Below are 26,874 nucleotides of genomic sequence, written 5' to 3'. Positions count from 1 at the left end.
GATACATTAGCTAAAATTCACACTGTATTTACATTTCTGTAATTTTTACCTACTGTCCTTTTTTGTCCAGGATTTGATCTAGGATCCCACATTACATTTACTTGTTATGCCTGCTTAGGCTCCTTGTGGCTGTGACAGTTTCTCAAATGGATATGTATATGACATACACATATACATTCATGTGTCCTTGTTTTTCACAGTTCTGAGCAGAACTGGTTGGGTATTTCATAGAATGTCCCTCAGCTGAGATTTGTCTGATGTTTTTCTCATAATTAGATTGGGGTGACCTGTTTTTAGGGGGAGGAAGGAAGAACAAGTGGTAAAGTGTCATTTGCATCACATCCTATCAAGAAGAACACACTATCCACATGACCTATCGCCATTGATGTTGACCTTGATCCCCTGGCAGAGGTAGTGTTTGTCAGGTTTCTCCACTGTAAAATTATTTTATTTCACCTTTCAATAGTGTACTCTTTGGAAGGAAGTCACTATGTACACCCCATAATTAAGGAGTGGGGTATTATTCTTTCCCTCCTTTTCAAGGGCAGAGTATCTACATAAATTATTTGGAATCGTGGTGCAAGGGAGATTTCTCCTCTCCCATTTATTTACATATTTAGTCATTCATTTATATCAGTCTGGAGTCTTGGATATTTATTTTATACTTTGAGTTATAATCCAGTACTATTTTACTTATTTTTTTTTTTTTTTGCTTAAAAATTTTCAGCGTTGACCATTGGGAGCTCTTTGATTTGACTCCTGTGTCCTTTTGGCATACTCTCAACATTTTTTAACACTCCTTTACTTTCCGGTACTACAATATGATTCAGGGTCCTCCTGTATATTTTCTGTTTCAATTTGAGCCATCCATTTCTCTGAGGAGCCCCGGTTTCTGTTATGAGAATGGCATTAGAACTGGATGCTAGGGGTGTTCTTTGCTCCTAGGCCTTCTCAGCTGACAGAGTAAGGGAAGATATGTGTGTACACTAGCCTGTGTACACACACATGTATATATATACGTGCATGTCATATACAAGTATGTATGATGTATGTGCCTATGTATATATGTATGTGTGATATATAAACATATTTCTGGATGTAATTATCTGTGTCTATATTAAACTAAACATGAGTTCATAGTGATGTAAGGAGATATTTTAATCTCTATAGTAACCACTAGAAGAATAAAAAAAGAATGTATTAATAAAACTAACAAGGTAATAGAGGAAAAAAATAGAATAATAAAAGTAATTAGTCCTGAAGAAGGCAAGGACAGAGAAATAAAGGAACAAAAACCAGATGAGACAAATAGAAAACAAAGAGCAAGACGATAGATTTAAATGTGAAGAAAAATAAACAGTAACAGTATCGGAAAAAGTTTAGGGGAACATTCACCAGGCCAAATCCACTCTCCACGCTTCCTCCCCCTTCGCTTTCCTAGGAGAGCCCCCTCATGGTCTATGCCAGTGGAGTCCTTGCCTTCTGGCTTTGTGTTGGGTTCAGCCAATGCAGATACCCAGCCACAGAGCTCCCTTACACGTCCTGAGCTGGCTGTGTCCTTTGACCACAAGTCACTACTGCTCTCCACATGGCTCACTCTGCAGGAATTTCCTTCTGGATTCCAGAAACCATTCCCTGTCTTCATCCCTTCAGGCCTAGGGATGTCAGTAATTCTGCTGTTATTAGTTCTGGATGATTACATTATCCTTTGTGAGTCCCTGATACCCTGTCCAAACCTTCATAAATGGCCCCTTCATAAAAGCCTCCTTGAATTATACTAATTTCAGTGTGCCATCTGTTTCCTATTTGAACTCAGACTGACATAGCCATTGTGAAATCAGAAAATAGTTCCTCAAAATGGGATTCTGGAATTCCGTTGCTCATGTATTTGAGGAACACAGCGATAACCTTGCTGGGGAAGAATGAGGAAGTGAGTAATCCATGGCATGTGGTGACATCATCATTACCCACATTATCAATGGTGGGAGCATGGGAGGGAATGCAGGTGATGGGCAAGGCATTAAGAGATCAAGTAGCGCCGGCACTTAATTGCTATGGCAACAACAGTGATTAAAAAATAGTAGAAACAACTGGATTCTTTTTACTATCCTAAGAAATTTATATAGGGAAAAAGAGAAAATCAAGGCTATGGAAATACAATTAAAAAGACGCATGGAAAACCAGAATGCCTCCATGGTGGCCCTGAGGGGTTCCTTATTTCCGGTAATTGAAGGGTAAATATGGCTAAGAACTAAGTCTATGGTCTGACTGTTAAAGTTGTAGATTTGCAGCAGCAATTAAATGCATAACGCGGCCAAGTCTTTTATGCCAAGGCAAGGTTCTCGGGGAGGACTCTCAGATACAGGAAGGGGATACAGGATGCCTGAAAGGCAGGCCTGATTGGGCTGAGACTTTTGAACCTCTGTTCTCCTCTAAACCTTTTATTCTGGCTGAAGGAGCTATCTCTCCTCTGCATAAAAGCCTTACAATCATTGTTCCCAGGGCAGTTGCCCCATATGCTAATGCTAACTCTCCTCAGGTCCCCTCCCTTACCTCTTATTACCTTCAGGCCCATAACAAAGTAGAAGGCCTGCTCCAGAAAAAGCTAGCTGTACTCTTAAAGACGTGCAAAACCCCGCCTAGGTGGACAGTCAGGGTAGTCAAGGGAAAGGTCAGGGAGTGGATTGGGAGGATGGTAGACAGCCACTTCTCTAGGTGTGGTCCCTGGACCAACAGCATCAGCATCATCTGAGAACTTGTTAGAAACGCAAATTCTTGGGCCTAACCTCAGATCTATAGAATCAGAAACTGTAGGGGTGAGACCCAGAAATCTGTGTTTTAATAAGGCTTCCAGGTGATTCTGATTTGCACTAAAATTTGAGACCCCCCCACTCCCTGACTTAATAGATCCATTAGATCCTCATGTTCCTGAGTCTTCAGACACCTTCCTCTACAGCATTACTACTCAGAGCTGTTGTCCCAGATCAGAGGCACTGGCATCACCTGCATCAGAAAATGCAGAACCTTCGACCCCACCCTAGACTTATCAAACCAGACTCTGCATTTAAAAAGATCCTCAGGTGCCGTGCGTGCTCATTAAAGTCGGAGAGGCCGTGTTCCACAGCGGTGGCTCTCGAACTTTGGCATGGATGAGAATCACCGCACTGTGAGCACCAATGTGCTGTGCAAACCTGCTCACTTCTCCCTCACCACGGCCCCTGAGAAGGTCTGAAGGACACTTCCCTCACTAAGGTATTTGGAAGTCCTTGAAGAGCTCTGTGGTGACTGTCATCTATAGGCTGGAGATGACAGTTGGGGACAATGCAAAGGAATTGGGTTTCTTGATCTTAAAGAGAATAATGGGACCCCACAGTAGATGAGGCAAGGTGGCCATGCTTGCTGGTCAGACAGGAGGTAGCGCCCCGCAAGCCACAGAGACAGAGTGGCCATCAGAGTGCTGTAATCTGTAGTGAATTGTGGCGCAGTTCTCTAGAAATGAAATACTTGGGCAGCCTGTGAAGGTGCTGCCTGACAAATACAGGTGAAAAATTCTAGGTTTCTGGGTAGAAACTGGAGGAAGATTCGTGGCCTTTTACCCAATTCCTAGACCTAAGTCAGTTCATAAACTCGGATACCCACAACTGAGGAGGGACCCTGCAATGTGGTCACGGATGTATATTGTGTGTCTTCTCCAAAGCCTTCCTCAGAATGGCCTGCAGCCATTTACCAGGGCAGCTATACACTAGGGAGAAGGAAATATACTAGATACTCCCAAGGTTAATAAATATTGACCCTGAACTCACTCTGATCCCCAGAACCCTGAAGTGCCACCATCATCCACCAGTGAAATTTGGAACTTATGAAAATCAGGTGATGTATGGAATCCTAGCCCATACATCCTAGTCTGTCTAACACAGTGTCCACAGGATCAGGTATTCATCCTGTGTTTTTCCCTGACTCCTAGAATGTGTAGAGAAAAGAGAGATATGTAATAACTGGCAGAATGATTATATTGGTCCTTTGACCCATGAAATTAAGACTTTTGTAGTGAAAAGGAGGGCAAAGTGGAAGCTCTTGTTGATGGAGATCCCTCCAGCACTCACTTCCACGCCCACCATACCAAGAAAGTAAAAAATACTTCAACCTGGGGGAAACTACAGTGATTAATGCTACCACCAGCAACTTGAGATATGCATAGGTGGCAATTCCCAGTACATCCCCATTTAACTTACTTATCTGGCTAGTGCAAAAGCCAGATGGGGCATGGAGAAAGAGATCTTTGTACATTTATTCACATAGTGATGTCAGTCACAGCTACAGCACTAAATGTGAAATACTTACTGTGGCAATTCAACACAGCCCATGATATCTGGCATTCAGCTTCTGACCTAGAAAACATTTTTTCCCCCAGGAAAATCCGAAGCAGTTTGCATTTACATAGCAGGGCAAATAGTATACCTCTACTATCTTACACCAGGACAATATCAAGTTTCCTTTTCTCTGTCATAATATAGTGTGATGGGAACTTGATCATCTTGATACCCTACAGGATGTCATTCTGGTCCATGACATTGATGGAATTATGTTAACTGGACCTGGTGAGTAGGAAGCATCAACACTCTAGATGCCTTTGTAAGACATATGTGTGCCTAAGGCCAAGAGGCATATTATGTAAGTGAAGTTTCTAGAGGGTCATTGGCGTGGGTAATCCTTCTCTAAAGTGAGAGACAAGTTGCTTGCCCTTGAATTTCACAACACAATGATGGAGACACACTTTGTTTGGGGGAAGCCTACCTTGGACTCCTCCATCTTGAAAGGAATAGAATTTTGCTTTCATGCCGTAAACATGTCTTCTGGGTACACATTTGTCTTCTCTGCCTGAAGTGCTTCTTCCAGCATCACTTGTAGACTTACGGAATGCCTTATTCTTCACCACAGTATCAAATACAACATCATCTCTGATAAGGGGGCCCATTTTATAGCATAGGAAGTATGGCAGTGGGCTCCTGCCCATAAAATTCTCTGGTGTTATGATGTGGCTTATCAATTTGATGGCAGTGGCAGCTCGTCTGGAGTGGCTGCTGCCACATGCCAGCTGTAGCAGGGAGGTGCGGCCACGGCTGCACACTCCACAGAGCCAGCAGGAGCTGGGGACAAGTGGGAGCCCTGCCCCTTCTGCATTGGTGGGGAAGGAGCTCCCTGGGTGGTGCAGCTGCAGCTGCCCAAGTCGTGGCTGCGGACTTGGGCCTTTCACTCCACAGAGCAGGCAGAAGCCCCACCCTTTCAGGTACAGCTACAACCACCCAAGTCATGGCTGTGGACCCAGGCATCTCTGTGCTCTTGGGGGGTCCAGGAGCAGGCAGGAATCCCACCTATCTGGGTGTAGCTGCAACCGCCCAAGCTATAGCTGTGGACCCAGACAACTGGGCACTCTCAGGGGCCTGGGAGAGTCCCCCTTCCTCCTGCAGGCTCAGAGGTGTCTGCTCCCACTGCCTGGCCTCTTCCCACTCCCTTGTCTGCTCCAATCTCAGAGCAAGGTTGGGGCCAAGCCTGGGTGCTGTCACAGCCTGGCTGGGTGTGAGAACACTTGGGGCAGTGCCAACACGCCAGCCCCCTGCCACCTTGGCCCCCTCCAGACTTTGGGCACTAATAAGCATAGGAGGGAAGCCAAGGGGAAGTTGAGGGAATCTTGGCACAGGCCTGCAGGTGTTCCTTGGCACAAACAGCCTGGGCACCATCAACAGCAGCAGGAGGCAGACAAGCTCCCGCACAGAAGGGATCCTGCACAGTAGGGAACGGGTCTGTGGTGAGGCCCGACCTTCAGGCCAGGGAGGGCCTGAAAGCTAGGGGTGGGACTGCCAGTCTGAACTTGTGGTGCCTTTTCTGGGCCCACCCATGGCCACCCATGGACCAATCAGTACACACTTTGTCCTTCTGAGGCCCATTAAAGCCCCAGGCTCAGCCAGAGCTGAGCAGATGTCCCAATGACCAGCTGCAGAGAGGAGCTTCCCACTCCAGGGCCTCCTCTGAGCTATTGTGTCACTCCACACAGCTCCTCTTTGCCTTGCTCATCCTGCACTTGTCCATGTACCTCATTCTTCCTGGACGCAGGACAAGAACTTGGGACCTGCTGAATGGTGGGGCTGAAAGAGCTGTAACACAAACAGGGCTGAAACACACCCCTTGCTCACCACATTGCAGGAGAAGAAGAAAGAAGAGCTGTGGCCCTTTGGGGAGCCCAGACCTGGGAGCTCCCCGAGCCAGGGCTGTGACTCCCTCTTTGAGGCCCTGAAGTTCCTGAAGTCTCCAAGCTTCCGGGTGCCACCATGTTCCCTGGTGCCAGCCATAGAAGCTGCTTGCAGTACACCTGGTCTAGCTGCAGCCTTGCAGAGAGCCAGCACCTGTGCTGACACCTGGAGCTGCCCACCCCACTGCAGTAGCCAGCACGCTTGCCTGTAAGCAGTGGCCAGACCCCATGCTTGCTCACTCACATACCCCTTACTGCTCCACACCTGGCTTGCCCTTGGCAGGCATGGCATCCAGGTCAGTGGCATGAGCCGAGTACAGCCTGCCAGGTTGAGTGGGAGGAATGAGCCCAGTGGGCCCAAGCAAAACTTGGGCAAAGACACTACTCGCCACAGAGGTTTCCAGCCAGAAAGGCAACACCCCAAGGATCCTGCAACAACTTGGAAGCAAGTAGCTTGAGAGAATGGTGAAACAGATTACTAAAGGCTCATTACAGTGCCCTCTGGAAGGCAACACCCTCCAATGTGGGGGTGCTCTCTCATAGGGTACAGTGTATGCTTTCAATCAGAAGTCAACATATGGTGCCCATAGCCAGGCTGCATAGGTGTAAGAACAAAGGGATAGTGGTGGGAGTGGTCCCTCTCACTATCATACCTAATAATCCACTTAAAGGCTTAAAGAGTATCCTTGCAATCTTAGGCTCCATGGATCTGAAGGTCCTAGTGTTCAAAGTGGTAATTCTTCTACCAGGAAAAATGACCATTGTTCCAGTGAACAGACAAATAAGAAGACTTCTTTCTTCACTGGGGCAATTGGTCCTGATTCTCAGGGGATAATTGTGTTGCTGGTATATGTTTAGGGCACCTCTTAGTCCTCTCTCGCTCTAAAGTCCTGGTCAGTGGAAAACTGTGACAACCCAATAACGTCAAGACCATCAAAGATTCAAATCCTACAAGAAAGAATGTTAGGGTCATTTCACTAGGTAAAGACACCCATCCATCTGAGGTGCTGGATGAGGAAAAAGGGAACCTGGATCAAGTGATGGAAGAAGGCAGAGGTGATTAGCAGTTTAGGCCCCATTCCCAGCTATGGAAATGGGGACTATAAAAACTGGTTTTATGTTACCTTACTGTTTGCTGCCTGTATTAGCTTCTTCTTCTTTTTTTCTTTTTAGAAAGGGTCTCACTATCACCCAGGCTGGAATGCAGTGGTGCAGCCTTGGCTCACTGCAGCCTCAACCTCTCAGGCTCAAGTGATCTTCCCACCTCAGCCTCCCAAGTAGCTGGGACTACAGGTGTGCCCCATCACACCCAGCTAATGTTTTTTCTTTTTGTAGAGATGGGGTCTCACTATGTTGCTCAGGGTGGTCTTGAACTCCTGGGTTCAAGCTCTCCTTCTGTGTCGGCCTCCCAAAGTGCTGCGGGATTACAGGCATGCTCCTGGCCTCCTGTATTAGTTTCTAGGGTTATATAACAAATTATCACAAGTTAAGCTGTTTAAAGCCATACCCATTTATTAGTTCACGGTTTTGTACATCAGAAATCTAGGCCTGGTGTACATGGCTGGATTCTCTGCTCAGGGTCTCACAGGACTAAAATCCTTGTGCGGCATGGGCTACCTTCTCATCTGGAGCTCAGGGTCCTTTTCCAAGCTCACACGATTGGGGCAGAATTCAGTTCCTGTGGCTAGAGAACTGAGGCTCCATTTCCTTGCTGGCTGTCAGCCAGGGGCTGCTCTTAGCTCACTGAAACCACCTACACTCCTTGCCACAAAGCCCTCTCCATCTTCAAGGCCACCAATGGAGAATTTTTCATGTATCACACTTCAAATCTCTTCCACCAGGAAGAGCCCAGTTCCTTTTAAAGGCTAACCCAATTAGGTCAGATTTACCCAGGATAACCTCTCTTTTCTAACTGATTTGAGAACTCAATTGCCTCTGCAAAATCCCATCACAGCAGCCCCTTGATTTGTGTTTGATTGAATAACTGGGAGAAGGTGTGTGGCACTGGAAGGTGCAGGAATTTGGGGATGCTATCTCTGAATTCTGCCTGCCACACCGCGCCTCACTTTTACCCAATTCCTTATTTGAAGAACACCAGTGGCAGTCATGCTCTAGGTTTCAGGGGGAATTATGCCAGATTGAGATTGCCTCTTGATAAAACAGTAGCCAATGGGACTTTGTGCATTCCCTTTGATGAGGACATGAATTTTTCACCCGTATCAAAGATGAAAGTGTATACTGAGGGAAGAAAGAGAACTGTGCCAGATATATTCTATTTATGCCCCCAGATCTCTTTCCTCCTCTCTCTCTGCCCAAGTAGATGGACCTGTGTTGGTTACATCAATGGCTTCCCTTGCCCTTTGGCTCTGTTTGCTTTATCAAGCAGGGAGGCCTAGCAGAAGATTAGAGGGAGGAAAGAGAGTAAGGTCAGGTCACTTATTTATCGGGCTTCCTCCTTGTAGGCTTGCCTTGGCCACCTGTGTTCCACAGCCAGGGGCTTCTGCTCCTCTGAGGGCAGCTATGACTCTCTCCTCCTGGATTCCAGTAACTCCTGCGCCCCCCATCACCCTTGTAGGCCCTAGATTGCTGCAGTATCCCCTGTATCTCCTCTAGGTTCTGCCCACACCTTCATAAATAGTCCTGTTATTAAATCTCCTGAATTATCCTAATTTGAGCGTGCCATCTGTTTTTTGTTTGGACTCTGACTGATTCAAGAACCTATTAAGAGATAGACACAGGAATGTGGCAGATGGAAATACAAATATTACTTTTATTACCATCAAAACTGATACTGGACAATATGGCTTAGGTCTGCTAGGCAGGCAGGTTTGCTAATATTTCACTCCTGAGGTCAACCGCAAGGGCCGGCTCCTGTAAAACTTGCGGGCAGGCATGGAGGCAGAGCAGGGTGCATGCTTTTTCACAGAGGGGAGGGAGGATGCAGCTGAGCTGAGCGTTTCGGCTTCTTCTTCTGCCAAAGTTACCCACCAGTTGAGTCACTCCCCATCCCCAGGGTAAGACTGGGAAGGTGGGGCAAGAGGCCAGGAGCTTTATTCTCGAAGACTCCTTCCACAAAGGAACAGTCCCGAGAGTGCCAATATTTTGAATAGTGAATGACACTTTAAATAAAATCAAAAGATAAGCAAAAACAACCAAAGGCTTAATATCCAGAATTTTTATGAAGAACGCCTCTAAACTGATTAATTAAACACTGAGAATCCAACTGATAGCCAAGCACAGTGGCTCACGTCTGTAATCACAGCACTTCGAGAGGTTGAGGTGGGAGGATCACTTGAGGCCAGTGGTTTGAGACTAGCCTGGGCAATATAGCAAGACCCCATCTCTACAAAAAAATATAAAAATTAGCTGGTGTGCTCCTGTAATCTCAGCTACTTTGGAAGCTGAGTAGGGAGGATTGCTTGAGTCCGGGAGTTCAAGGTTACAATTGTGCCACTGCACTCCGGCCTGGGCGACAGAGTGAAATCTTATCTCTACAAAAAAAAAAAAAAAAAGAAGGGGGACAAAGACTTCAAATAAGCAACTCACAGAATTTTTATTATTATGACTCCTGAGGTTGAACATCTATCCAGATACTAATGGCCAATAAATATCTGGAGAGATGTTCAACCTCAGGAATAGTTGAGGACTTGATTCTTACAAATGTTTTTTTCCCCTTCAGGTTGGTAAACATTTTAAAGACTGATGTTATCCAGTGTTGATGAAGACGTAGGGAAACAGACACTCTTAGGGGTTGTTAGTAGGCATATAAGTTGATAAAGCTGAAGGACAATTTGGCAGTGAATTTGAACCTTAAATGTGCATATCCTTTGACCCAGAAAGCCCACTTATGGAGACCTAAGCTGGAGAAATACGCATATTTGTATGCCACAAGAAAGCATATACAGGGATGTGTATTGCTTGTTACAGTAAGGATTTGGAAACAATATTGTTATCTATCAGTAGGGAAACAATAAAAACATATTTTTAATATAAACACAGTTAAAAGACTGGCTAAAGCGAGAGAGCACAATAAGGTAAATTGATTTTTTATTTCTATTTTTTTATTTTTGAGATGGAGTCTTGCTCTGTCATCCAGGCTGGAGTACAGTGGCATGATCTTGGCTCACTGCAACCTCTGGCTCCTGGGTTCAAGTGATTCTCCTGCCTCAGCCTCCCAAGTAGCTGGGACTTCAGGAGCTCACCACCACACCCGGCTAATTTTTGTATTTTTGGTAGAGGCGTGGTTTCACCATGTTGGCCAGGCTGGTCTCGAACTCCTGATCTCAAATAATCCACCCGCCTTGGCCTCCCAAAGTGCTGGGATTACAGGCATGAGCCACTGTGCCTGGCCTGATTTTATTTTTTAAGGGAAGACTTCCTATATATATTGCTAAGGGGAAAAAAACAAGTTGTAAAAAATACATACATAACACCATGGGTAGAATTCATGAGTGTAAACATTAAATGAGGAAAGGATAGGATTGTGTAGTCAGGGTTACTGAGATTTTTTCCAAATTACAAATTTAATGTAAAAAACTGTTTACACCTGTACCCTTTGAGCTAGACAAATGCTGGTTGTATTTAACTAAGTTTGCATGTGGTTGAGTGTGCCGTTAGTTAACATTCCATAAATTGAGACTGCCGAGGGCCTTTGTGTGTTACCAACAGCATGCAGATGTAAGGGAGGGGCCCCAGAAAGGTTTCTGGATGAGATCCAACCACCCAGTAATAGAACATAAACTAAAGATACAGGGCCAGTGATAGGAACTTCCTTTTAAAGACAAAAATGTATAATATGGAACAGCAAATATTATAATATTCTTCCAAGAATATAGATGATAGCTCATGCAAGCACAAATTTTGTAAAGTGATTCAATGCTGTTTTGTATAATGCTATTGTTATTCAATGTACCGTGTGTGAGATGATTCTGTTTAAATCTACCGAAATTTTAGTTATAGAGTTCTAACGTAGATGTACCATGGATATTCCTGTATGAATGCTTGGATACAACAGAAAACTATGAAAGAAAAATTTTACCCAAGATTTAGTTTCCTTTTTGACACTGTTACAAGCTGTCATGAATCCATGTGATATGGACTATTACTTGTAAAATTGAGTAAAGTAGGAAAGAAAAATTCTGAAGCTTTAGAAATGCAGGCTCAATGGCTCAAAAAATAATAATAATAGAGTGACACTTGAATGTTGATATTCCTAAATCTAGACAGCTATAACTGAACACATGGTTGGGTGTGAAAATATATAACATGATATATGGAATCTGATTTGAGCAGACTGTAGGAAAGTAGTGGAAAGATTAGTAGCTCAAACAAGAAAGTTAAATAGAAATGAGGATGCTCTTGTTTAGAGCAAGATAGGAAAGAGTTTAAAGAAGACTGGATGAAATAAAAAACATTAATATAATGTTTGAAAGACAAAGATTCCTCTTAGACACTGAAGTCCCTAATGCGCTGTGGGGTCACCCAGCCTCCACTATAAGTTATATTAAATTATATAAATTCATGAAATGATATAAATACATAGCCCCAAAGCCCCAGGGTTTGGGTCTTTAAATTTCTTTTTACTGAGAGATCCAAGTATTTCCTGCAATGTGCACAATGCTAGCTCTTTGGATGGGAAAAGCAAGTTAGTTCTGGGTTATCTTGATTTTGGAACGGGTTAAGACGAAGTAAGAAGGCCAACCTGGCCGGGCGTGGTGGCTCACGCCTGTGATCCTAGCACTTTGGGAGGCCGAGGCAGGCGGATTACGAGGTCAGGAGATTGAGACCATCCTGGCTAACACGGTGAAATCCCGTCTCTACTAAAAATACGAAAAATTAGCCGGGCGTGGTGGCGGGCGCCTGTAGTCCCAGCTACTCTGGAGGCTGAGGCAGGAGAATGGCGTGAACCCGGGAGGTGGAGCTTGCAGTGAGCTGAGATTGCACCACTGCACTCCAGCCTGGGCGACAGAGTGAGACTCCATCTCAAAAAAAAAAAAAAAAAAAAAAAAAGAAGCCCAACCTGGTTGATTCCCTTATAGAAGCTCCAGGTGCTAAACAATGTAAACACAATGCATCTCTTGGTTTTTGTTTGCCACTTCTCTTTGTACATTAGCTTCATTCTCTCTGGCTGACTGTCCCCATGTGTATGGTTCTATTAGGATGGAGAAAAGAGGAAACATATATTGAATGGGCAACCTGCAACAACTGAAACAGGTATTATGCCTGGGCCAGCTTGGGTCAGGTGCCTGCTCATTGACCAATCACTATGGCTCAGAAGAAAGAATCATATAAGAAGATGATAGCTCCATTCACACCTTAAGGTGAAGAAGTGGTGAAAGTGGTATAGTTCCCCCAAACAAGGGAATTGGTCCCAGAAAGAGATCCTCTATTAATAAGCAATTGTGACTAATAAATTACCCCAAAACTCAGTGGCTTAAAACAGCAAACATTTCCTACCAAAGAGTTTCTGTGGGTCAGGAGACCAGGTGTAGTTTAGCTGGGTATCTCTTACAAGGCTGTAATCAAAGCATGGGCCAGGAGATAGGCATTTTAAGGCTCAATCAAGGGAGTATCTGCTTCAGAGCTCACTCATGTACCTGTTGGCAGGCCTCAGGTTCTTACCAGCTGTTGGCCAGTGTATTAGCTTGGGCTGTGAAAACAAAATACCATAGACTGGGTGGCTTCAACAATAGTCATGGATTTCACACAGCTCTGGAGGCTGGGAAGTCCAACATCAAGGTGCCAGCAGATTTGGTTCCTGGTGATGGCTTTCTTACTGGCTTGCAGATGCTGCCTTCTCCATGTGTCCAGAGAGAGAGAGAGAGAGAGAGAGAGAGAAAGAGAAAGAGAGAGAGAGCAGGGGGTGGGGAGCAAGCTCTGGTCTCTCTTCCTTTTCTTACGAAGACACTTATCCCATCATGGGATCCCACCCCATGACCTTATCTAGACCTAATCACCTCCCAAAGGCCTCATTCCTAAATGCCATCACAGTAGTGGTTAGGGCTTCAACATACAAATTTTGGGGGAACACAAACACTCAGTCCATAACAGCCAGAACATAAGTTCCTTGACACACAGGTGTTTCCACAGGGCAGCTCACAACATGGCAGCGGGTTTTCCTCAGAGCGAGTGAAAGAGTGAAAGGAGCCAAGATAGAAGCCACAGGCTTTTTGTAATGTAATCTCTGAGATGACATCACACCACTTCTGCAATATTCTGTTTGTTTGAAGTGAGTTGCTAGGTCCAGCTCACAAACAAGGGAACGGAGGTACACGGGGGCATGAATACCAGGAGACAGAGATATAGGGAACCACTTTTTGTTTGTTTTATTGTTTTTTTGAGATGGAGTCTCACTCTGTCCCAGGCTGGAGTACAGTGGTGCGATCTCTGCTCACTGCAACCTCCACCTCCCAGGTTCAAGCAATTGTCCTGCCTCAGTCTCCTGAGTAGCTGATATTACAGGCACATGCCATCACGCCCAGCTAATTTTTGTATGTTTAGTAGAGACGGGGTTTCACCACGTTGGCCAGGCAGATCTCAAACTCCCGGCCTCAAGAGATCCGCCCGCCTTGGCTTCCCAGAGTGTTGGGATTACAGGCGTGAGCCACTGCACCCGGCTAATTTAAATTTTTTATTTTATTTTCCATAAGTTATTGGGGTACAGGTGGTATTTGGTTACATAAGTTATTTAGTGGTGATTTACGAGTAGTATATGCTGCACCCTATTTGTAGTCCTTTATGCCTCACCCCCTCCCACTCTTCCCCACAAGTCCCCAAAGTCCATTGTATCATTCTTATGCCTTTGCATCCTCATAGCTTAGCTCCCACACATCAGTGAGAACATACAATGTTTGGTTTTCCATTCCTGAGTTATTCCACTTAGAATAATAGTCTCCAGTCTCATCCAGGTCACTGCAAATATTGTTACTTGATTCCTTTTTATGGATCAGTAATATTCCACTATATATATATAATATATATAAAAAATTCACCATTATATATATATACAATTATATATATAAATTTATATATATACATTTATATATAAAAATTGTATACATATAAATTTATATATATAAAAAATTCACCATTATGCTGAATTTTGTAATAATTATTCACTTATTCTTCATTGTTTTATCAGAGATGTCCGTATTCCTACACAAGATACTGTTGGTTTTCCCTGCCTTTGACTTTATATCAATAGAATCACACTGTAGGTATTTCTCTGTGATTTGCTTCTTCCTCTAGAGATATATATATCTCACAGTTTCTTTATCCACTTGTTGATTGATGGGCATTTGGGTTGGTTCCACGATTTTGCAGTGGTGAATTGTGCTGTTATAAACATGCATGTGCAAGTATCTTTTTCAAATAATGATTTCCTCTGGGTAGATACCCAGTAGTGGGACTCCTAGATCAAATGGTAGTTCTACTTTTAGTTCTTTAAGGAATCTCCACGCTGTTTTCCATTGTGGTTGTACTAGTTTACATTCCCACCAGCAGTGTAGAAGTGTTCCTTGTTCACCGCATCCACGCCAACATCTACTGTTTTTTGATTTTTTGATTATGGCCATTCTTTCAGGAGTAAGGTAGTACCACATTGCGGTTTTGATTTGCATTTCCCTGATCATTGGTGATGTTGAGCATTTTTTCATATGTTTGTTGGCCATTTGTCTATCTTCTTTTGAGAATTGTCTATTAATGTCCTTAGCCTACTTTTTGATGGGATTTTTTTTTCTTACTGATTTGTTTGAGTTCGTTGTAGATTCTGGATATTAGTCCTTTGTCAGATGTATATATTGTAAAGATTTTCTCCTACTCTGTGGGTTGTCAGTTTACTCTGCTGACTGTTCCTTTTGCCATGCAAAAGCTCTTTAGTTTAATTAGATCCCAGCTATTTATCTTTGTTTTTATTGCATTGGCTTTTGGGTTCTTGGTCATGAAATCCTTGCCTAAGCCAACGTCTAGAAGGGTTTTTCCAATGTTATCTTCTAGAGTTTTTATAGTTTCAGGTCTTAGGTTTAAGTCCTTAATCTATCTTGAGTTAATTTTTGTAATAAGGTGAGAGATGAGGATCCAGTTTCATTCTCCTACATGTGGCTAGCCAATTATCCCAGCACCATTTGTGAAAAGGGTGTCCTTTCTCCACTTTATGTTTTTATTTGCTTTGTTGAAGATCAGTTGGATGTGAGTATTTGTCTTGCTCTGCTGTCCAGGCTGGAGTGCAGTGGCATGATCTCGGCTCACTGCAACCTCCACCTCCCAGGTTCAAGCTATGCTCCTGCCTCAGCCTCCCTAGTAGCTGGGGCTACAGGCATGCACCACCACGCTCAGCTAATTTTTGTATTTTGAGTAGATACAGGGTTTCACCATGTTGGCCAGGCTGGTCTGGAACTCCTGACCTCAAGTGATCTGCCCTCCTCGGCCTCCCAAAGTGTTGGGATTACAGGCGTGAGCCACTGCACCCAGCCAGCAGTATGATCATTTTCACAATATTGATTCTACCCATCCATGAGCATGAAATGTGTTTCCATTTGTTTGTGTTGTCTATAATTTCTTTCAGCAGTGTTTTGTAGTTTTCCTTGTAGAGGTCAACTCCTTTGTTAGGTATATTCCTAAGTATTTTATTTTTTTTTTGTAGCTATTGTAAAAAGGGGTTGAATTCTTGATTTGATTCTCTGTTTGGTCACTGTTGGTGTATAGAAGAGCTACTGATTTGTGTACATGAATCTTGTATCCAGAAACTTTGCTGAATAATCAGTTCTAGGAGCTTTCTGGAGGAGTCCTTAGGGTTTTCAAGATAAACAATCATATTGTTAGCAAACAGGGACAGTCTGACTTCCTCTTTACCGATGTGGATGCCCTTTATTTCTTTCTCTTGTCTGACTGCTCTGGCTCGGACTTCCAGTACCATGTTGAAGAGGAGTGGTGAGAGTGGGCAGCCTTGTCTCGTTTCCGTTCTCAGAGGGAATGCTTTCAACTTTTCCCCATTCAGTATTATGTTGGCTGTGGGTTTGTCATTGATGGCCTTTATTACATGAAAGTATGTCCCTTGTATGCCGATTTTGCTGAGGGTTTTAATCATAAAGGGATGCTGGATTTTGTTGAATGCTTTTTCTGCATCTATTGAGATGATCATGTGATTTTTGTTTTTAATTCTTGTTTAGGTGGTGTATCACATTTATTGACTTACATGTGTTAAACCATCCCTGCATCCCTGGAATGAAACCCACTTGATTGTGGTGGATTATTTTTTTGATATGTTGTTGGATTCGGTTAGCTAGTATTTTGTTAAGGATTTTGCATCTATGTTCATCAAGGATATTGGTCTGTATTCTTTTTTAGTTGTGTCCTTTCCTGGTTTTGGTATTAGGGTGATGCTGCCTTCATAGAATGAATTAGGGAGGGTTCCTTCTTTCTCTGTCTTGTGGAATAGTGTCAAAAGGATTGGCACCAATTCTTTGAATGTCCGGTAGAATTCTGCTGTGAATCCGTCTGGTCCTGGACTTTATTTTGTTGATAATTTTTAAATTACCATTTCAATCTTGCTGCTTGTTATTGGTCTCTTCAGGGTATCTAATTCTTCCTGATTTAAGCTAGGAGGGTTGTATTTTTCCAGGAATTTATCCACTTCTTCTAGGTTTTCTAGTTTATGTGCATAAAGATGTTCATAGTTGCCTTGAATGATCTTTTGTATTTCTGTGGTGTCAGTTGTAATATTTCCTGTTTCGTTTCTTAGTGAGGTTATTTGGATTTTCGCTCTTCTTGGTTAATCTTGCTAACGGTTATTTTATTATTTTATTTTATTTTATTTTATTTATTGTTTCTTGTGACAGGGTTTTGCTCTGTCACCCAGGCTGGAGTGCAGTGGTGCAATCACAGCTCACTGCAGCCTTGACCTCCCCCAGACTCAAGTGATCTTCCCACCTCAGCCTCTGGAGTAGCTGGGGCTACGCACATGCCACAACGCCTGGCCAATTTTTATATTTTTGTCGAGATGGGGTTTCACCAGGTTGCTAAGGCTGGTCTGAAACTCCTGGGCTCAAGTTATCCTCCTGCCTCAGCCTCCCAAAGTGCTGGGATTACAGGTGTGAGCCACCCCCTCTGACCCATTGGGGACCATTTTACACGCTACCTGCCACAGGTTCTGGACAGATAATACAATAAAAGACCACTGTGCTGAGCAGTGACAAGTTGAGTCTAAAAAGTGATCATTAGAATTCAAACCAGACAAACAACACAAACAAGCTGAACCTGTAGAAAAATCTTGAGATTATAGTGATACCACAATGAGGATGTTAATATCAAATGTGCTAACAGATGGCAGTAATGCATACAGGTTTTAAAAATGTGTTTTTATTAAATATAAGACAGATAAAAAATGATATTTATAAAATATATGTTAGCTCTAAAGAAGAGTAGTAAAATTAACATACATGAATGTGCTATCCAACGTAAGAGAAGGCTCCAATGCTACCCTCTTCTGTCCTCCTCTAGAGGTGGTCACCATTATGCTGAATTTTGTGATAATTATTCACTTGTTCTTCATTGTTTTATCAGAGATGTCCATATTCCTACACAAGATACTGTTGGTTTTCCCTGCCTTTGACTTTATATCAATGGAATCACACTGTAGGTATTTCTCTGTGATTTGCTTGTTCCTCTAGAGATTATGTTTCTGAGATTTATCCACTTGATGCTTTCATACTGATGTTTTTCAGTTCCAATCAAACTTCACTAAGCTCTTCATATATTGTCCTAACACAGGAACAAACTCAGTGTTATCATTTGAGCCACCAGCTTTCTCTTGTACAACATGGTATGACTATACTATTACACAACTCATCTATGTATGGATGGATGGACATTTGGGTTAGTCCCATCTTTTTGCTACATAAATAGTTCTGCTGTGAACATCACTTTACTTCTTTCCTGGTACACTTGTGCAAAACTTTCTTCAGGGGATACACCTGGGAAAGGAACTGTCAGATCATAGGCATATTAGCTTTAAGAGACAATGCCAAATTGTTTTCCAAGGAGGTTATAGTGATTTACACTCCTGTTGGCAGTTGTTCCAAATCCTATCCAATATTTGATAATGTGTTTTTTATTTTTGCCAATGTGGAAGGCATAAAATAGAATTTCATTGAGGTTTTGATTTGCATTTCACATGAGTTGTAATATGTTTTACTGCATTGCCAAATGTTATCCAATGATCAAATGAGACTCTGAACTCTGTACTAAAGTTTTTGCCATTATCCATGCAACTATTTACAAGTTGTTGTTACTTTAAAATCACACCTGTGCAAATTATTTGGTTAAAAGTCAAATACGTACCTGTGAAGTGTGCACAATAAAGCAAAAAAAAAAGGCAAATGCAAAGAATCAAAACTTGTGATAACTTAGTGTCATGCCTGTGTTGCAAGGTGGGATAAGACATAGTCAAAGGTGAATAAAGCAAATAATTTTCATGGACATTGCACTCCTTATATATTTATTTGAGCATATTATGTGAAGGTGGAAGGTGTTGTAAGGGAATTAAGGGGAAAGTGAGTCACCTATGTCTAGTTTATGTATAATCTTTACTGCCCTAAGGCATGTCCAAGGAAAAAAGGGGTGGACAATCGGGAGTTGGACACATTTTGTTTCTGACGCAGAGCTCAGCAGCTGTCAACATCATAAATAGAATTTGCATACTCGGAGATCAACAGTGAGGTGGTAATAAAGGAATTACTTCCTCTAGATGTTACTCTTTGTTGTCAATTTTGGATTGCAAACACACTAAAGTTGGGACTGATTACAATGTTAAGCTTAGTGAGGTCTTGATTGGACGAGAAACACGTTCCAAGACAAGGCAAAGGTCCTAGTGTAAAACCAGCTGCAAAAGAGCATGAAATCAGGTGATCAGTGTCAGCTGGCAGCAGTCTGTTCTTGGAGGCAGAGCTGAAGAAACAGAACCTGCCAAGAATTTGGGTTCACCACGGGATCAGGCTGGATCCCTGGTGTCTGAGCTGGCCTCATTTGAGATGGAGTTGAGTGTTGACAGAACAATCAGTGGGAGCTGGGTGTTCCTAATGTTGCACTTTAAGCTTCTCTGTCAAAGTTAGCACAGACGATAGATCAAGATGACGTTTACTCATGAATTGTTGGGATATAAATTTATATTTTTCAAAGGAAATTTAAGATATCAACAACTTAAATATGTTCCTATTTTTGACCATGTAATTCTACCCATAAGAACCTGCCCAATCAGTTGGGTTATTGTAGATGAAAGTAAAATCATTCAAATTATCTCAAGAAACATTAAGAGGCTATACAGAGACAGAAACCCAGGAAAGTCTAAGCATCCCAGCCTTAAGTGCACAGACCTGGGGGCAGCTATGGGTTTGGGCACCCTTGGGATGACATGGGTTTCTCAGGGTGCTACCTCTATTCACAGGACTTGGTTCCCCTCCTTTCCGCTCTAGCTTTTCTTTACCATAGGACTGTCTTATTTCGTTTCTACAGCCCAGTCACCTTCTGGCAACACCACCTGTTGACTCTCAGCATTTCCTTGTTTGAACTCTTGATTGGTTAAATTACCTTTCCAAACGACGCAAGTAAGAGGTTTTTGGCCAGTCTATGGATTGGCTGCCCTGGGATCAGATGACCTCCCTGGTCCAATCAGCTGAGGCTAAGGCTAAAAAGGGACAGCTCACCCATAGCTGCTCCAATGGGGCGGTTTCCCTTGCAAAAGACTAGCGGCGTGAACGGGCAAACACTGTGATGGACATCTCTAGAAAAAGACTCGGAAAAGAGTCAGAGATAGGGACTAAGAAGTGCCTGAAAGTGCGCTTGCAGCGCGCGTGCACACACACGATATCCAACCACAAAGTACAATAATGACTTGCTGCTTAGGTGTGCGACAATGAGCAGCGAAGGCACTGACTTTGAAGGCTATTGGAAAACACGAGGAAATGCTCACAAAATAATATTCCATGAAAAAGAGCTATAAAACAGCATATACCGAATGATCAGAATTTCCAAAGAAAAAAATTGCATATTTTAAAATTTGGACGGGAAAGCCAACAGGCTAGTGGTGTGATAACTGGCGGTATAAAAGTGCTTCTTTATTTGGTCATACAGCTTTCAAATGTTGCTTAACGAACAGATAGCATTTTTATAATCAGAGGAAAGACTCAGTATTAAAGTGCGCGTCCCATCATTGCAACCGGGCCCTCGGGCAGCCAGCTCTCTCTTGCTTCGCGTCCGGCTCTCAGGCCCTGGAGCTCGGCCTCCCTACCTTCTCCAGGCGCGGGTCCTGCTCCTTTTCCGGCCGCCCTCGCTCCGCCCCTTCGCCTCTCCCCGTGATCCCTCTCTCGCTAACCGTAGGCGCTTTTCGTGAAGGCCCGGGTTTTTACAGCACTTCGCTTTTCTAACCACGAACAGTGCTCGTTCGTTCGCAGGGCCAGCAAGGAGAGCCCCGCCCCCGCCCGCCGCCCGCCGCCCGCCGCCCGCCGCCTTTGGATCCCGCGGACTCCGCCCGGCCCGGCCTCCCCAGGCATGGCGCCGCTGCGCTTCTCCGCCAATCTGTCCTGGCTATTCCCCGAGCTCTCCGGCCTCCCCGCGCGGGTGCGGGCCGCGGGCAGCTCGGGCTTCGAGGCCGTCGAGGTGGCCTGGCCGTACGCGGAGACGCCTGAGGCGCTGGCGCGCGCCGCGCGAGAAGCGGGGCTGCGGCTTGTACTGATCAACACGCCCCCGGGTGCGTCGCGGGCCGGGAGGGCTGGGAGGGCTGGGGGGTGCCGGGGCGCGGGCAGGGGAGTGTCCGAGCCGGGGGCTGAGGCCCGTTCTCTCTGCAGGAGACCAAGAGAAGGGGGAAATGGGGCTGGGGGCCGTCCCCGGGAGACAGGCGGCCTTCCGAGAGGGACTGGAGCAGGCCGTGCGGTATGCCAAAGCCCTGGGCTGTCCCAGGTACCCCGCTCCACCCCACCCCCACCCCTGTGACCCATGACCCTGATGCAGGTTCAGGGAGTCGAGGACGCCAGATCTGAGACGCTCAGAAGTCTGAGCCCACTGGTTTATCTCTGCCTCTGCGGTCCTGGTCCTTTGTAAATTGCCTTTTGTATTTTATCTGTCTTATGCCACTCTGTTTGCCACTCTTTCATGCTCACCCCATGCTGGGATCCCATGCTGGGAGCTCAGTCTGCCTAGGCAGATAGGAGAGTAAATATATACAGTGATGCATTTGAGGACAGGCCTATTCCAGGAAGCTGTGGGAGCAGGGTAGGCACCTAACCCTGTCTGGATCAGAGAAAGCTGCTTACAGGTAGTGATGCTTGGACTGTCTTCAAGGAGTGGGCATTGCTTGATGGGCAGGAAGTTGAGTGTTCCTTGCAAGGGTGCTGTGGCAAGAGGAGGCCTGGTGTATTTGGCAGCGTTCCTGAGGCTGGACATGTATGTAGCCTGTTGGGATGGGGAGGCCTGGAATGTCTGCTTGGAGCTGGATGTGGCTAAGATCAGGGGATGATGGGAGGAGGTGGACGGCTCAAAGTGGGGCTGATTCAAATGTCAAATCCTGCAGAGGCCAAACAGGCTCAGAAGGAACTGGCAAGAGGGGATCACTACTGGTCAATGGTGGGGGCAGAAAACAGATGGGAAAAGGCTAAGTAGATGCGAGGAGAGGAAGTAGAGACAGCAGCATGGAATACCTGAGAAGGGCAAGCAAAGGTCAGGACAATTTTTAAAGGTGAGAATTTAGCAGGTTACAGGTTGCGGAGAAGGACCGAGGGAAGGAAAGGTTTTGGAAAGTACTGGAGGCAGGAGGCGGTGGGTGGACACTGAGATGTCTGGGAAAGGGCTTGCCCCTCAGCCATCACTGAAGTGTCTCTGAAAGTGCTGGGATACCTGGGCATCGTGACCCAGGTGCCATGGACTGGAGACCTGGGGAGACGGACGAGGGCTGGCACAGTCAGGGAATCCTGGAAGAGGTGCAGAGAGAGCCAAGGGAGGCAAGGCCTCCAGTCCATCTTCCCCACAGGATCCACCTGATGGCTGGCCGAGTACCCCAGGGAGCTGATCGAATAGCAGTCAAGGCTGAGATGGAGGCCGTTTTTCTGGAGAACCTGAGGCATGCAGCTGGGGTTTTGGCTCAGGTGAGAAAGGTGGAAACACACACGTACTTACATGTCTCTGTGGGTGTGCGGAGAAGGGGGTGCACAGTGGGGACAGCACGTGAGGCTGCCAGCCTAGGTCAGAGGAACAGGTGAGGGCCTTGACCAGTGACTGACTGATGGGGGACAAACTTGGGAAGGAGCTCTATTCACAGCACCCGACATGCTGCTAGGAGGACCTCGTGGGACTGCTGGAGCCCATCAACACCCGCATCACTGACCCCCAGTACTTCCTGGACACGCCCCAGCAGGGTACGACCCCAGCCCTGTCTCTCCTTCTGTCCCTTTTGATTCCTGTGCTCTTGAGGCTCACGGTCCCCTCCCTGGCTTCTCTTACAGCGGCAGCCATCTTACAGAAGGTAGGAAGACCCAACCTCCAATTACAAATGGTAAGTGGAAGGGGGTACTTCGCAGATCGGAAGGAGGGCGGGGCCTGCGGGGTCTCGGAATGTAGTATCCTCTTCCCTAGGACATATTCCACTGGCAGATCATGGATGGGAACCTGACAGGAAACATCCGGGAGTTCCTGCCCATTGTTGGTGAGAGGACCTTCCTTTGCCCTCCCACCCTTTCAATCCCCACATCTGTCCTTCAGGCCCTGGCAGGAGCCTGGACCCCACATTTGTCCACATCTGTCCCCAGGGCATGTGCAGGTGGCACAGGTCCCAGGCCGAGGGGAGCCCAGCAGCCCCGGAGAGCTGAATTTCCCCTATCTGTTTCAACTGCTGGAAGATGAAGGCTACAAAGGCTTCGTGGGCTGTGAGTATCAGCCTCGAGGTGAGGCGTGGCCCTGGGGAAGGGAGCTCTGGAGGGACCCGGACAGGGGCTGTTTTCTCCTTGTGGGCTGAGGTGCCGAGGCCTCCCTCTCCCTGCAGGAGACACAGTAGAGGGCTTGAGTTGGCTACGTTCATACTGGGATAGGCGGGGCCACCCAGAGGCTGGCCAGTGAGGGCCCGCACACCACCCACGTGCCTCCAGACAGCGAGTGACATCCCATCTCCTCCTCTGCATTAAAGATGACCTGCTGAACATTGTCATATGTCTCTGTAATGGGGTGGTGGGACACATAGTGTCTAACACTTCAGTTTCTCTGCTGCTTCCCTCCCATTGAGAAGCCAGTGCCAGGGTTGCTGTGAAGATGGGAGAGCTTCTGAACCCACCTCATTAAAGGATGAGAAACCCAGGGTCCGAGAGCAAAGGGACTTGACGGTGGCCACAAGTGCTTCAAAGGCAGAGCTGGGATTGGAACCCAGGTGTCATCTCGATGGGAATGTCCAGCAGTGATGTCCAAGTGGGAAGTGAAGACCCGAAGGCTCAAGGGACACAGGTGGCTGACAGTGGTCAAAGGCTAGGGGGCAGGATTCAGGCAGAGGAGCTCTAGGGGGTGTTTGCCACCCTGTGTGAACTCCCGAGACTCTACCAGGGGGGCCGAAAGGAGTACCCCAGAAGGGCCCAAGGGGTCCTCGGGGTTGACCTGACTCTCTGGAGTCCTGGATGGGTCAGTGGCTGTGGGTGTTTGGGGAGGGCGGTTCCTGCTGCCAGGCTGGGGCAGCAGACCCTCAAGACATAGTTACAAAGCCTTTGGTGTCACTCAGTGTCTGGCTTGCCCTGGGGCCCAGAAGGGCTGGTCAGTCCTGCCTCTGGCAGGCAATCTGGTAGGCCCATGATTCAAGGAACAGTGACATTCAGTGGTCCAGTCCACTCCCTCAGAGGAGGCGGGTCCAGAGGGTGAAACAGGCTGTGTTGATGACAGACTCCAGGTGGTGGTAGGTGGAGACCAGTTGGGCAGGGGGGCTCTCGCTGTCCTGGGGCTGTACTGGGAAGGGCTCTCGGAAAACCACTGTCAGAGACTGTGGGGAACACGGTGGGGATGCACTGGTGAGAGGAGGGCATGGGTGGGGATAGGAGGCAGGGCTCAGAAAGGGTGGGCACCCCAACCTCAGCAGGCTCCGAGGTGGAGCATTTGGGGTACGGCCTCCCATGAGGCTGACACAAAGCCCCCCACTCGTTCTTACCGTCTTTCCTAAGTGGGAGTCCAGAAACACTAGCACAAAGCAGTCAGTGAACTTCTGATTCAGCACAACCTGCAGTGAAAGATGAGGAGGGGACACAGACCCTACAGACCCTCCCACAGGGCATCCTGAGGTGAAGGGAGGATGAGGAGAGGCCTACTTCCATCTCCACACCTCACCCCGCCTGCACCCTGAGGTCACATAGGACCGTGTCTCCAAATTGAGCCTCAGTCCTCATCCTCGCTGGCTTGCTGGTCAGCCTGTCTGAGCTGCATCAGAATGAGGGGTAACAGTTGATCCTGGAGGCCCCACACAGAGCCTGGCACACTGAAGCCAATCAACAGAGAGTGCTGTACCCCTGGCACAACCTCCTTGCCTCCTGTCCTGGGACTCCTCTCTGACCACCCCTGGGATTGTCTTGTCGTCCCCTTATGTCCATCTGCTCCCTAACGCTCTGCTTGGTGATCCATCCCGGGATGATTTGCTCTCCCAAGGCTTCAGTTACCGCCTGTTCACAGAGCTGCTGCCTAGGACTCTCCTGAGCTCGAATCCCTGATGCCCACAGACCTTGCAGACAGTGAAGGGCCTATGGACCCCAGACTCAGCTTGCCCCAAGCTGGGCTTGTCACCCTTCCCCAAAACCCACTCCTGCTCCAGCCTTCCCACCACCCGCAGGAGCACCTGCCTCCATTCACAACCGCCGACACTACTGCAGCCTCATCCTAACTGACCTTGGCTTCTCTGGGAGACCCTTCCTGCACCCTGAAATGAATCCTCTGCACAAGCACTGTGCTGCAGGACCCCTCACCTGGCTCCACCTCCTACTTTCTCACTTGAAGTCTTCTCTTGTAATGCCTCCTCTCTTGAACCTCAGCTCTGGCTGGGCCCATCTCTGTGGGCTCCTTAATGCCCTGTGCTCGTGTCCACCACCACAGTTCTCTCTACCTGTCCTTTACAGCAGTGCTTTCACGCCTCAGTGTGCACACAAATCACCTGGGGAGACTGTCAACCTGCAGATCCCGAGTCAACAGTCTGAAATGTGGCCGGAGAGCCTGCATTTCAGCAAGCTCCCAGGTGCTGCGGCTGCTGGTCTGTGGACCACACTTTAAGTAACAAGGCTTCAAAGTCCAAGGGGTCCTTTCTGGGGCTCCAGCCTACTGACAAAGTTCTGACAGCTCCTTGGGTTGTCAGTTCCAGAGCCTGGCCCTCAGGATCTCAAGCCAAGGCTTGTATTCTTGGTGAGTCTTTGAGGGCAGAGCTGCTCAGAGAATCACATGCTGTAGCTCGATGCCCGGTACTGGAAGGGTTTTACATGTATCTGTGTAGTCCCGTTCTGTCTAGGCCTCCCTCCAGAGCAGAGCTTGTTTGGTCAGGCTGAGGGGCACATCTGTTTGGTGAGGATTTCTGCTGTGTTTCCCTTTTCAGAGGAAGCTCAAGGGGACTTACCAGGTACTGAGTTCCCAAGTCTGGGCTTTGGAAATGGCGACAGCTCTGGGGGAAGCGGCTTAGGAGAACTTTGATCAGGCTCTGGTACCAGGAGACCGTCATGGATAGGAAGCAGTCCTGAGGGAGGAGCCACAGGCCTGAGTCTTCTGTGCCAGTCACCTCAGATTCCTGTGCCCTCTGCCCTGGCTGCCAGTGGAATTCCTGGCACCTATCCCAGCTCTTTCGGGAGCCCACAGTTCCTTACCAGCTGGGGGTCGATGTCCCCAATGGATTTGGCATGGACTGCTTCTAGGAGTTCCTCCAGCTCTGCCAGGGCCAGGCGCCCCCCTAGCCGCAGTCGATCAGGCCCCGGTGGCTCCAGCAAGAAGAGGCGCTTCCAAAGGGTGTCCCGACGGCAGTGCCCTCCAGCCAGCCGCACCAGCTGAGCCAGCCGTGCTCGTGCCATGCCCACCTCTGCAGCCAGTGGTGGGAACAGAGGAGCCGGTCCAGGCGCTAGAATAAGCCCTGAGGCCTCCCCAGGGCTGCCAGCTGAACTCCCAGGAGCCTCTGGCTCAGGGGGCAGTCTGGGTGGCTTCCGGAAGCGGCGCATGTCAGCAGTGAGCCTGGGGAAGAGCTCTCGCTGGCTGGTGAGCACCACGAAGAACTGTAGCCTGGGGTGGGGAGCAGGGCAGGAGAGTGGTGGTTGTAGCAAGAGACACACAGGGCAGGGTGGGGCAGGCTGGGAAATGGGCATGTTCAAGGTAGGGGATCTGCTGACCGCAGAACGTGCCGCTCAGCCTCTCCTTGCTCCTCAAAGGGTGCAGCACAGTGACAGACAAGCAGAGACACATCAAAGTCATCCTGGTGTCGAAGTCCCTCAGAGTCCAGGTAGGAGCCAGAACTGTGCAGGACGGGTTGGGGAGATGTCAACTCTGGGGTTCTAATAAAACAAACCTCACCCCTGCCCAAGAAAACATTGGTCTCCCTACTGCAAGTATGTCCCAACCCCAGCTCCTGCAGCGTGCATGCTGGATGCCCCTCT

General features: G+C 46.9%; 2 protein-coding genes, 2 long non-coding RNA genes and 1 other non-coding gene across 12 annotated transcripts in view, besides 5 other annotated features; 2 read left to right on the top strand and 3 right to left on the bottom strand.

Moving 5' to 3' along the window:
• Positions 1,569 to 2,768: an enhancer, noted in NCBI's record as "P300/CBP strongly-dependent group 1 enhancer chr1:43937485-43938684 (GRCh37/hg19 assembly coordinates)". NCBI's record gives its function as "activates an origin of replication core promoter dependent on BRD2, BRD4, P300/CBP, MED14 and CDK7 cofactors, with strong dependence on P300/CBP, by STARR-seq in HCT116 cells {active_cell/tissue: HCT116}" and the evidence as "EXISTENCE:reporter gene assay evidence [ECO:0000049][PMID:35650434]".
• Positions 17,583 to 20,655, bottom strand: HYI-AS1 (HYI antisense RNA 1). Its single transcript, NR_174945.1, has 2 exons — positions 20,529 to 20,655; positions 17,583 to 18,004 (listed from the first exon to the last, which is right to left on the bottom strand). It is a non-coding gene; the product is annotated as an HYI antisense RNA 1 (long non-coding RNA).
• The window catches only part of SZT2 (SZT2 subunit of KICSTOR complex), a 64,349-nt gene continuing 57,809 nt past the window's right edge, over positions 20,335 to 26,874 (bottom strand). For both annotated transcript variants that reach the window (NM_001365999.1, NM_015284.4), the window contains 5 exons: positions 26,611 to 26,733; positions 26,098 to 26,503; positions 25,854 to 25,970; positions 24,411 to 24,479; positions 20,335 to 24,245 (listed from right to left, as the gene is read on the bottom strand). In NM_001365999.1, the coding sequence (NP_001352928.1) occupies positions 24,102 to 24,245; positions 24,411 to 24,479; positions 25,854 to 25,970; positions 26,098 to 26,503; positions 26,611 to 26,733 (859 nt within the window). In that variant the 3' untranslated portion in view covers positions 20,335 to 24,101. The remainder of the gene's footprint in view (positions 24,246 to 24,410; positions 24,480 to 25,853; positions 25,971 to 26,097; positions 26,504 to 26,610; positions 26,734 to 26,874) is intronic.
• Positions 20,615 to 20,914: a silencer, noted in NCBI's record as "silent region_785". NCBI's record gives its function as "represses an Ori minimal core promoter by ATAC-STARR-seq in GM12878 lymphoblastoid cells {active_cell/tissue: GM12878}" and the evidence as "EXISTENCE:reporter gene assay evidence [ECO:0000049][PMID:35858748]".
• On the top strand, positions 20,651 to 23,975 carry HYI (hydroxypyruvate isomerase (putative)). 7 transcript variants are annotated; one of them, XM_006710937.4, is made up of 9 exons: positions 20,651 to 20,987; positions 21,085 to 21,169; positions 21,578 to 21,679; positions 22,263 to 22,377; positions 22,569 to 22,647; positions 22,735 to 22,784; positions 22,865 to 22,934; positions 23,038 to 23,154; positions 23,511 to 23,975. In XM_006710937.4, the coding sequence occupies exons 1-9, from the start codon at positions 20,789 to 20,791 to the stop codon at positions 23,561 to 23,563; spliced, it is 870 nt and encodes a 289-aa protein (XP_006711000.1). In that variant the 5' UTR covers positions 20,651 to 20,788; the 3' UTR covers positions 23,564 to 23,975. The 7 variants fall into 7 exon arrangements, with proteins under 7 accessions (XP_006711000.1, NP_001230455.1, NP_001317455.1 ...); NM_001243526.2 differs by having other exon boundaries at positions 23,271 to 23,593; NM_001330526.2 differs by having other exon boundaries at positions 23,038 to 23,172; positions 23,271 to 23,593.
• Positions 21,025 to 21,084: a silencer, noted in NCBI's record as "silent region_784". NCBI's record gives its function as "represses an Ori minimal core promoter by ATAC-STARR-seq in GM12878 lymphoblastoid cells {active_cell/tissue: GM12878}" and the evidence as "EXISTENCE:reporter gene assay evidence [ECO:0000049][PMID:35858748]".
• Positions 21,875 to 22,761: an enhancer, noted in NCBI's record as "H3K4me1 hESC enhancer chr1:43917492-43918378 (GRCh37/hg19 assembly coordinates)". NCBI's record gives its function as "activates a minimal SCP1, AML or CMV promoter by ChIP-STARR-seq in primed H9 embryonic stem cells {active_cell/tissue: H9 hESC(primed)}" and the evidence as "EXISTENCE:reporter gene assay evidence [ECO:0000049][PMID:30033119]".
• Positions 22,762 to 23,649: an enhancer, noted in NCBI's record as "H3K4me1 hESC enhancer chr1:43916604-43917491 (GRCh37/hg19 assembly coordinates)". NCBI's record gives its function as "activates a minimal SCP1, AML or CMV promoter by ChIP-STARR-seq in naive and primed H9 embryonic stem cells {active_cell/tissue: H9 hESC(naive and primed)}" and the evidence as "EXISTENCE:reporter gene assay evidence [ECO:0000049][PMID:30033119]".
• On the top strand, positions 25,938 to 26,806 carry SZT2-AS1 (SZT2 antisense RNA 1). Its single transcript, NR_046744.1, has 2 exons — positions 25,938 to 26,479; positions 26,650 to 26,806. It is a non-coding gene; the product is annotated as an SZT2 antisense RNA 1 (long non-coding RNA).
• MIR6735 (microRNA 6735) lies at positions 25,971 to 26,043 on the bottom strand. Its single transcript, NR_106793.1, has one exon. It is a non-coding gene; the product is annotated as a microRNA 6735 (primary transcript).

This window comes from Homo sapiens, chromosome 1 (assembly GCF_000001405.40).
Source record: "Homo sapiens chromosome 1, GRCh38.p14 Primary Assembly".
In the NCBI taxonomy this organism is placed as follows: domain Eukaryota; kingdom Metazoa; phylum Chordata; class Mammalia; order Primates; family Hominidae; genus Homo; species Homo sapiens.
Note: the sequence above shows the minus strand (reverse complement) of the source record. Positions and strands in the feature narration are given on the sequence as shown.

Excerpts from the sequence above, each read along its gene's own strand:
- HYI (NM_001330526.2), top strand. The coding sequence starts at position 20,789 with ATGGCGCCGCTGCGCTTCTCCGCCAATCTGTCCTGGCTATTCCCCGAG. Across the intron at positions 21,170-21,577 it reads GGACTGGAGCAGGCCGTGCG|GAGTGGGCATTGCTTGATGG; the intron begins GTATGCCAAAGC and ends ACTGTCTTCAAG. Across the intron at positions 22,935-23,037 it reads GGAGTTCCTGCCCATTGTTG|GGCATGTGCAGGTGGCACAG; the intron begins GTGAGAGGACCT and ends ATCTGTCCCCAG.